General features: G+C 51.3%; 1 protein-coding gene and 1 long non-coding RNA gene across 15 annotated transcripts in view, besides 1 other annotated feature; one reads left to right on the top strand and one right to left on the bottom strand.

Moving 5' to 3' along the window:
- Window positions 1-2,996: 2,996 nt before the first annotated feature.
- Window positions 2,997-3,856, top strand: LOC124903980 (uncharacterized). The gene is made up of 2 exons (XR_007065711.1): window positions 2,997-3,037; window positions 3,641-3,856. It is a non-coding gene; the product is annotated as an uncharacterized LOC124903980 (long non-coding RNA).
- RHBDL3 (rhomboid like 3) overlaps window positions 3,754-9,940 on the bottom strand; it is a 58,830-nt gene continuing 52,643 nt past the window's right edge. For 12 of the 14 annotated variants that reach the window (XM_047435507.1, XM_017024275.2, XM_017024273.2 and 9 more), the window contains one exon: window positions 3,754-7,457. In XM_047435507.1, coding sequence (XP_047291463.1) covers window positions 7,186-7,457 — 272 coding nt within the window. In that variant the 3' untranslated portion in view covers window positions 3,754-7,185. The remainder of the gene's footprint in view (window positions 7,458-9,940) is intronic. The other 2 variants (NM_138328.3, NM_001330181.2) reach the window with 1 other exon arrangement.
- Window positions 4,906-5,785: an enhancer, noted in NCBI's record as "H3K27ac-H3K4me1 hESC enhancer chr17:30649649-30650528 (GRCh37/hg19 assembly coordinates)". NCBI's record gives its function as "activates a minimal SCP1, AML or CMV promoter by ChIP-STARR-seq in primed H9 embryonic stem cells {active_cell/tissue: H9 hESC(primed)}" and the evidence as "EXISTENCE:reporter gene assay evidence [ECO:0000049][PMID:30033119]".

Below are 9,940 nucleotides of genomic sequence, written 5' to 3'. Positions count from 1 at the left end.
AGTCCTCAAGCCTAACATTTGTATTCCCAACAAGGTTGTGAGGAAATTATACTTGCTATACTAAGGAATTTGTTGAAGAAGATCAAATCACTTGCTGGGATACACACCTTTCTGCTTCTTGCAGGAGGCATCAAGCAGAATCTAAGAGCAATTTCCCTCACAATGTTTTATTCATTGTCCAGTAGAGTTATACTCATAGAACTCAATAACCCAAGTTACTTCCTTTCACTCTCATTCATTATTCACCATGACAGAATGCCTGTCCTCTACCAGAGGATCCCTTAGACCAGGTGCCAGGAAAGCCTGCGGGCTTCTTGGAAATAAGATGCAGTTACTAGGACCACACTTTCCTAACAGTGTGTCTTCTCACTTAATGGAAACCCTGCTGACTTCAATGAAGTCTTTCCACTTGGAGGTCTGAGAGGGCAGTCCAGTTCTCTTAATTGCTAAAGTTCCTAAATGTGGCTGGATGTGGTGGCTCAGGCCTGTAATCCCAGCACTTTGAGAGGCCAAGGCAGGAGGACTGCATGAGCCTAAGAGTTCAAGACCAGCCTGGCAACACAGTGAAATGCCATCTCTACAAAAAATAAAATTAGCAGGACCTGGTGGTATGTGCCTATAGTCCCAGCTACTCAGGAGGCTGAGGCTGGAAGATCGCTTGAGCCCAGGAGCTCAAAGTAACTGAGCTATGACTACCACTACACTCCAACCTGGGCAACAGAGCAAGACCCTCTCTCAAATATAAAGAAATAGGCCAGGCACGGTGGCTCATGCCTGTAATCCCAGCACTTTGGGAGGCTGAGGCGAGCAGATCACCTGAGGTCGGGAGTTCGAGACCAGCCTGGCCAACATGGAGAAACCCCATCTCTACTAAAAATACAAAATTAGCCAGGCATGGTGGCACGTGCCTGTAATCCCAGCTACTCGGGAGGCTGAGGCAGGATAATTGCTCGAACCTGGGAGGTGGAGGTTGCGGTGAGCCGAGATCACATCATTGCACTCCAGCCTGGGCAACAAGAGAAAAAATACATATATATGGAAGCAGTAATGAATCGACAGCTGTGGTTTTTCTTGTAAACTACTATGAGGGCTGATAAGGTGAAGGTCCTATTACATGAACTCTGAGTGAATGTCCCGAGGTTCATTCCTGTTACTGGATGGCCCCAGGCCTAATGCAATGAGATGGATCTTTAAACAAAGACCCTGAGGCCTGCACATGCTTAGTGCCCTTACAGTCCTGTGCAAATACCTGAGGGCTGACAGCATGAACTTTGGTACCACCAGTCTTGGGTGTGAAGCCAGCTGTGCCACATACTACCAGCAAGTAACTAAATTTCTCTAACCTTTTCCCTTGTGTATAAATAGGGGGATATTTATACCTAGTTCACATAAAGTAGCTGTGGAAATGCCTACCTCAGTGCCTAGCACATAGTAGGTACACAGGAAATCGTCTTCATTTCTTTTTTTCTTTTGAGACGGAGTTTCACTCTCGTTGCCCAGGCTGGAGTGCAATGGCACGAATTCGGCTCACTGCAACCTCCACCTCCCAGGTTCAAGCGATTCTCCTGCCTCAGCCTCCCAAGTAGCTGGAATTACAGGCACGTGCTACCACTCCTGGCTAATTTTGTAGTTCTAGTAGAGACAGGGTTTCCCCACGTTGGTCAGGCTAGTTTCGAACACCCGACCTCAGGTGATCCACCCACCTCAGCCTCCCAAAGTGCTAGGATTACAGGCATGAGCCACTGCACCTGTTTTTTTTGTTTGTTTGTTTCTTTTTTGAGATGGAGTTTCGCTCTTGTTGCCCAGGCTGGAGTGCAATGGCGCAATCTCGGCTCACTGCAACCTCTGCCTCCTGGGTTCAAGTGATTCTCCTGCCTCAGCCTCCTGAGTAGCTGGGACTACAGGCATGCACCACCATGCTTGGCTAATTTTTTATTTTTAGTATAGACGGGGTTTTGCCATGTTGGCCAGGCTGGTCTCAAACTACTGACCTCAGGTGATCCACCTGCCTCGGCCTCCCAAAGTGCTGGGATTACAGGTGTGAGCCACTGTGCCCGGCCCTTCATTTCTTAATTACCTTATTATTGGGAAGTGCCTTATTAATGTGTGGAAGAATGAAAATCTAGTATTAATAGAAGGGAAGAACCAGGAAAGTGAAAAAGGGAGAGAAGGCAAAGGCAGAGAATTCAACAGCTTCTGGCTCTCCAAGGAGCTTGCCTTTATTATTTATTTATTTATTTATTTATTTATTTATTTATTTATTTATTGAGACAGGGTCCACTCTGTCACCCAGACTGGAGTGCTGTGGCAGGATCTTGGCTCACTGCAACCCCTGCCTCCCAGGCTCAAGCAATTCTGCCTCAGCCTCCCAAGTAGCTGGGACTACAGGCACGCACCACTACCGCCCAGCTAATTTTTGTATTTTTAGTAGAGACAGGGTTTCACCATGTTGGTCAGGCTGGTCTGGAACTCCTGACCTCGTGATCTGCCCGCCTCAGCCTCCCAAAGTATTGGGATTACAGGCGTGAGCCACTGCGCCTGGCAGTTTTTTTGTATTATTAGTAGAGATGTGGTTTTTTCATGTTGGCCAGGCTGGTCTCGAACTTCTGGCCTCAAGTGATCTGCCTGCCTCAGCCTCCCAAAGTGCTGGGATTACAGGCATGAGCTACTGCGCCTGGCAGGAGCTTGCCTTTAAATGGCTCAGGTACTTTAGCCTGAAGTTGACCTATAAGAGCACTGATGCTCAGAGAGGATCCTGATTTCTCCTTCTAGGGAAGTTGGATCTCCACACTGTAAACAGAAGTGGGTTCTTTGGCCTTTAGCCTTAATGGCACTCTAAAGTTTGTTCTTGGATAGATTCTGCAGCATTTAAATTTTCTTTTCTTTTCCTTTTTTTTTTTTTTTTTTATTTTGAGACAGAGTCTAGTTCTGTCGCCCAGGCTGGAGTTTAGTGGCATGATCTCGGCTCACTGCAACCTTCGCCTCCAGGGTTCAAGCGATTCTCCTGCCTCAGCCTCCCGAGTAGCTGGGATTACAGGTGCCCATCACAGCGCCCAGTTAATTTTTGCATTTTTAGTAGAGACGGGATTTAACTGTGTTGGCCAGGCTGGTCTCGAACTCCTGACCTCATGATCCGCCCACTTCGGCGTCCCAAAGTGCTGGGATTACAGGCGTGAGCCAATGCGCCTGGCCTGGTTTTTTTTGTTTTGTTTTGTTTGAGACGGAGTCTCACTCTGTTACCACGCTGGAGTGCAGTGGTGCAATATCGGCTCACTGCAACCTCTGCCTCCATGGTTCAAGCGATTCTCTTGCCTTAGCCTCCTGAGTAGCTGGGATTACAGGCGTGCGCCACCACACCCAGCTAATTTTTTGTATTTTTAGTATAGACGGAGTTTCATCATGTTGGCCAGGCTGGTCTTGAACTCCTGACCTCAGGTGATCCACACGCCTCGGCCTCCCAAAGTGCTGGGATTACAGGCGTGAGCCACCATGCCCGTCCTACATACACATTTTTATGGGAAGAGAAATCACAGCTTTCATCAACCACTCAAAAGAGTTCAGTGATTTGAGAAAAGTTAAGTAAGATGCACACAGCTACAGACTGGTGCTAAGCACTGATGCCCCAATCTGTATTTTATAGAAATCCTGGATCCACCACCGCTGCTGTTCACCCTCTCCCACCCATCCTGACCCAGACCCAGATGAAACAGGCCCTAATGCCAGCCCTTCAGGTCACTTCCTGAATAACCAATGGCTTGGAAAAAGAAAAAAAATATTTAATGGAATCTGTGCTCAAATAATATGTTACAACAAAAATATACAGAATGTACACAATACAAAAATACTTAGAAACAAACATTGCAGTCTGTGTTTTGTTTTTTCCACTTACTCAAGTCCTCGGAGGGGCAGTTCACTGTTGGGCACTGTTTTTAAGGCAGAGGAGAACCGTGCTTTCCAGCCAGCACGGGGAGCAACATGAATGATGCCAGGAAAGGCTTTCACGGCACCCAGGGAATCTGCATTACGTATTTGCAAATTAAATTGGACGCTGGGGGAAGATCCTGGTGTGGTGAGCAACAGCTCCCCTAATCCTCTGGGCAAGAATGGTTCTCATGGAAATCGAGAGTCCTATTAGCTGGCAAAAGAGCCTCATTAGGGAGCTTTTCCTAATTAAAAAACGAATGATGAATGGTGTCATTAAAGCGAAATTTCTCCTTTGAAGGTTTGTTTTCCCTTCCCCAGTTTCTGTGATTCCTCTCCCGTTTAATGAGAGCCAGTGAGTCTATGGCTGCTGTTTGGGGATTCCCCAGCTTTCAGTTTCTGTATCCTGTGGATAAAAGGCCAACCTACCTCCACCAGCCTGAAGATTTACACACCACCCCCTGGGCTGGCAGCCACCTCAGACAAGGAAAGAGGCACAGAGGACACGGCCAGCCTTGGCCATGGGGAAGTGCTGCTGAGAGGGTGGTGGGACCTGCTGAGGAGAAAGCCAGATGCCACAAAGAGAACCCCTCTGACCAGACAGCTGCCTCCTGACCTGGGGAGAGGCCTGGGTCAGGTGAAGTGACCCTATGACCCCACCCTGTGGCCCCGCTTGGAAGTCATGGTTGGGAGAGGGGATGGAGGTGGGTGTGCTGACAGAGAACAGCTGGGGCTGGTGGTCTAAGGTGTAGACGAGGGTCCTTGGCAGCAGAGGACACACTTAACATGGTGGGAGACACGATTCCGCCTCCACTGTCCTTCTCAGTAACAAGCTTCCCTGGGAGTCCCCGAGGGAGCTGAGTGCTTCTATGAGGGATTTCTAGAATCTTCTAGTTCAATGCTTTCTCACCCCTAAGAGAGGAAGCCCCCTCTCCAGGTCATACCAGACAGAGGTGGCACTCTGCTCATTCCACCCACACCACAGAATCCCCAGGGGCCAGGACAGGAATCTGGAGGGGATTCTCCATCCCTCCAGGAAAGGACCTCATCGCTCAGCTTAGTGCGGCTGCAGCCCAGGCAGAGGCAGCAATGTCCTGACTCCTTCTGCATCCTCCCCTGGTCTTCCCTGAGCCCAGCTCCACAGCCTCAGAGCCTCCTCCTCTGAGGCACTGACTTCCATCTACATCTTTCTATCACTAGGGCAGAGAACGGTGGGCAGGGCACACACAAGACGCCCCAGGCTGACGCAACACCGCCAAAGGCGTGGGCCCACAGTGCCACAGGCTGCGGCCCTCAGCATGGCACTGGTGCAGGGGAGCAGGACCTAGGGAACTACATATGTGGATGAGGCCAGGGCAATCTATTTAGCAGTGGGCCAAGATGCGGTATGGCTGGGCCTCGCCTGCCAGTGAGTGAGTGAGCCCATTTACATGTAGTCACCAGGATGGGAAGCCACTGTGGCCCAAGACCCCAAATGCCTGGCCTGACTGACCCTGGACCCTGCTACACTCAAGGGCCAGGATGGGCACCAGGCTGGAGGAAGACCGTTCCCACACTCCTGCCCCTGTTTCTGGACACGCCCAGCCCCCCTGCCTCCTCCCAGGCCTGGCGTTCTTTGTTCTTCTGGGCTGTCAGTGGTTGAGAATTCCAAGAGCACGATAAAGGGAGTGTCATCTTTTGTCAAAGGTCATCCTCATGCCCTCCATTCGGGGCCTGCACCAGCTCCTGTTAGGAGGGTCATTCCCTCCATCTTGTTTTCTCACCTGTGTAATGGGGTGGGGTGGATTTGATAACCACCATGTTCTCTCCCGCATCCAAGCCTCCGAGGCTACTGGCTGCCCTCCCTCTGAGGTTCATCCATGCACCCAACAATTCTCCTGAGGCAAAGTTTTCCAACTAAACTGGAATTCCTCTTCCTGTAGCCTCCTGTCCCCCTAACTTAAATGGACACATGGCCTCAACATTCCTACCCCAGCCTCTCTTGCGCCCCCAAAGCTCTTTCTCTCCTAAGGGAGATAGGATGGAACCTTTTTGGATATGAAGGCCATCTCAGACGGAAACAAGAGCTGAACCTGGCAAACCTCAGCATCCAGGGATCCTTGGAGGGCTTGAGCTCTCCCTCCAGCAGGGCCATTCTGCCACCGGTCAGTGATGCTCAGGGGCAGGTGTGGAAGGGACAGGAGATGGGAAGGAAGGGGGCAGGCTTTGTCAAAGCAAGGACATTCAGCAACCACAGCACACCACGGTCTGCCACCTCTCACGGATGCCCACATGGGCCCCCTGCATCCTCCATGCCTTCTCTGCAGGCGCTGTCGTGCCTCAGTTACCTTTCCCATCACATACACACATATACGCACACACACACACACACGCATGAATGTTTCAAAACACTGTCTCCATAACCAAAGAGAGGCACAAAGTAGTGTCAGGGCAGCAAAAGGAAAGAAAAAGACCCTAAAACAAGGCTGGGCATGGAGGCTGGGGCACCCGTGTGAGATGCCAATATCCTGGAAGAAAGGGAGGGAGAAGTCTGAAGCTGGTCCTGGGTCTGTCTTCTCCAGGGTGGAACTTGGAATGAAGTTTATTCCCCCTGCATGGGTCCCTCTCACTGGGTACCCCCAGCACAAGAGGGGTCCTAGAGCCTACAGGCTCCCTGCTCTGCCCAACCCAGGCACAACAGATCATGCCCCGGTGCACACCAACCAGCCCAGGAGGGCACCCTGGTTTCAGCCAGGTCACAGCTGACATGTCCAGTAGGCCCTCTTCTTACTGGAGCCCCAGACACAGCAGGTGTCAAGGAGACACCACATGGCCTGCAATTATTTCTGAGCTAGAGAGGGGCCATGCCTGGACGCAACAACCTTCGAGCCTTCCCATGTCTCTTAGGGTCTCTGAGGGTAGAGGAGGAGGAAGAAGCTGCTGCTCAATCCGCAGCAGTGAGGGGGCACCCCCTGGCCCCATGGAAGAAGCCCAGCCCAGGTGAGGGAGGGCCACTCTCACACCCCACCCCAGACCTTCACCCTGGCCCGATGTCATCAGAGCAGCCGAGAAAAACGACAGCAGCCACATCAACTCCTCCGCCAGATGCCTTTCAGAAAAGGGTCTCCACTGTGTGTCCAAATCTAAACACAAACATTACAGTGGCCCAGAGTCTTCTGTCCTTGTCTGCCCGGCCTAGCTGAGCTGGTGATGAGAAGAAACCTCGCAGGCGCTCCCTGTGGGTGCTGCTTTTCCCTCCCCTCCCCGACCTTGGGCCTCCAGCCCTCAGGGGGGAGGCGGCAGCTTTAAGTCCAGCAGGGTGTAGGCAAAGATGTTCCAGAAGACAGCGAACAGCACGAAGACGGTGTACATGGCCACAAAAATCCACCACAGTGACTGGTCCTGGAGCCTCTGCTCGTAGTTCCTCAGGACCACCACGCCCAGGGTGATGCCCACGGCCACGCCACCCAAGTGCGCCACAAAGCTTGGGTGAGGGCACGGGGGATAGGCCGACGGGTGGAAGCGGAGCCACACGGCCCGCCCAAACTCCATGCTCACTGCAAGGGGAGGAAGCAGAGAGATGTCACAGGAGGGCCCTGAGCAGGGGCTGAGGGCCTTCACTTCATCACCCACCCATGAATTCATTCCCTATTAGGCCAAGCACCATTCTCTGCACTGGGGACACAGTAGTGAAGGAGGCAGGCAAATCTCTGTTCTCCCAGAGCTTACAGGGTCTAGCAATAAACCAGTAAGCAATTACATACATGAGATAATTTCAGGAAGAGAGACATCTATGGGGGGAAACAGGTGATTAAAAGCAATGCCTGTTTTAAGGAGGGAAATTCTTTAGCCCGGGGAGTCACGCAAGACCTCTCTAAAGAGGTGACATTTGGCCGGGTGCGGCGGCTCACACCTGTAATCTCAGCACTTTGGGAGGCCGAGGCGGGTGGATCACCTGAGGTCAGGAGTTCGAGACCAGCCTGGCCAACATGGTGAAACCCAGTCTCTACTAAAAATACAAACATTAGCTGGGTGTGGTGGTGGGCTCCCGTAATCCCAGCTACTCAGGAGGCTGAGGCAGAATTGCTTGAACCCAGGAGGTGGAGGTTGCAGTGAGCTGAGATTGCACTACTGCGCTGCAGCTGGGGCGACAGAGCAAGACTGTCTCAAAAACAAACAAAAAAAGAAAACCCTGACCCCAACAAACTGCTGAATTGACCCCTTAACAGATTCTTTTTGTTGTTCTTGTTGACACAGGTCTCACTCTAGGCGGGAGTACAGCGGCACCATCACAGCTCACTTCAGCCTCAACCTCCCGGGCTCAGGTGATCCATCTCAGCCTCCCAAGTAGCTGGGACTACAGGCACCCACCACCACATCTGGGTAATTAAAAAAAAAATTTTTTTTTTTGTAGAGATGAGGTCTTACTATGTTGCTCAGGCCTGAACTCCTGGGCTCAAGTGAGTTTCCTGCCTCAGCCTCCCACAGTGCTAGGATTATAGGCATGAGCCACCACACCCAGACCTGTAACAGATTCTAAGATGCCTTCATCCTGATCACCAATCCACGCTTCTTGTGTGAACTTCTTGGGTCAGCCAGTCAAGTGGGGATGGGCGCTAGGAAACTGCCATCCCATTATCCACTACCAAAAGAACACTGAGGGTAGATATTCTTATTCCCATTTTACAGATGAGAAAAACCAAGGCAAATTTGACACTGAAATAAAGCCCTTTGAGGGGAATTTTATACCTATTTAGCTACCAGTTAATGAGCCAGGGCACTTCTCTCCACCCTAACCACTGCAGGGGGTGCCAGAACCTCCAGGGACCTTCATTTCCCTTGGGGTTGCCCAGCCTTCTGGGCTGAGCCCTGCAACTCCAAGGATGGCCGATAGATGGCAGAAAAGGCGCATCCAGGGACTGACCCTCCGCCCTCCGCACTCCCACTCCTGCCCTGGGACAGCCTTCCAGCCTTGGCTCCCCAGGTCCAGGGTTTGATAAAGGAGGTATGAAAGATGATGGTCTCCAACTCCGATACAGCATTTTAGTTTTTATGATGCTTACGGTTGGATTTTTTTTTTTTTTTTTTTTTTTGAGACGGAATCTCGCTCTATTGCCCAGGCTGGAGTGCAGTGGCGCGATCTCGGCTCACTGCAAGCTCCGCCTCCCGGGTTCACGCCATTCTCCTGCCTCAGCCTCCCCAGTAGCTGGGACTACAGGCATGTGCCACCACACCCGGCTAATTTTTTGTATTTTTAGTAGAGACGGGGTTTCACCGTGTTAGCCAGGATGGTCTCTATCTCCTGACCTCGTGATCCGTCCGCCTCGGCCTCCCAAAGTGCTGGGATTACAAGCGTGAGCCACCGCGTCCGGCCGGATTTTTTTTTTTTTTAAACAACAAGACTCGTGCTTCTCTTTCCTTCCTCAAAAACGAACAAACTCAGAGCCTAAGCAGACGCAGAAGCTATGACACACCCACTGCCACCCCACTGCACCCTAATACCCTGACTCAAGGAGTCCTCAGGTTTTAAGGCTGGAAGTTCCTTCCTGGGATGAGAGATTCTCCAGCCCCATCCAGGAAACAGATCCAGAGAGACCCACAGAGGGTCAGGGGCAGACCTGATTTCTTGAAAGCCATGGGGTAAGAAGTAAGGAAGGTGGACGTGAATTGAAGCGGAGCCTTCCCAGGCCTGACCCTCCGTGAATTGAAGTGGAGCCCTCCCAGACCTGACCCTCCATCCCAGGTTTGTTCAGACTCAGTCTTCCTCTTACCTACACAGCAGGTAGCTGACCCAGAGAAAGCCCAGGTGCTTACTGTCTAGCTTGGCTAACATGTGGGACATTTGAAATGGCACAGGCTGGCTCTGAATTCTGGCTCTATCACTTCTTAGCTGGGTGACCTTGGGCTAGGAACCTAACTCTCTGAGCCTGGAGTTTCTACCTATAAATTAAGCTAATAATAATACCCTTTCTAGGTGGGTTTGGAGGACTGGATGAGAAAATGCGTTCACTCCCTCTTCTATCCTCATTGGTTTTTTTGT

This window comes from Homo sapiens, chromosome 17 (genome assembly GCF_000001405.40).
Source record: "Homo sapiens chromosome 17, GRCh38.p14 Primary Assembly".
NCBI classification, from domain to species: domain Eukaryota; kingdom Metazoa; phylum Chordata; class Mammalia; order Primates; family Hominidae; genus Homo; species Homo sapiens.
The sequence above is the reverse complement of the archived record's forward strand: the minus strand, read 5'-3'. Positions and strand labels throughout refer to the sequence as shown.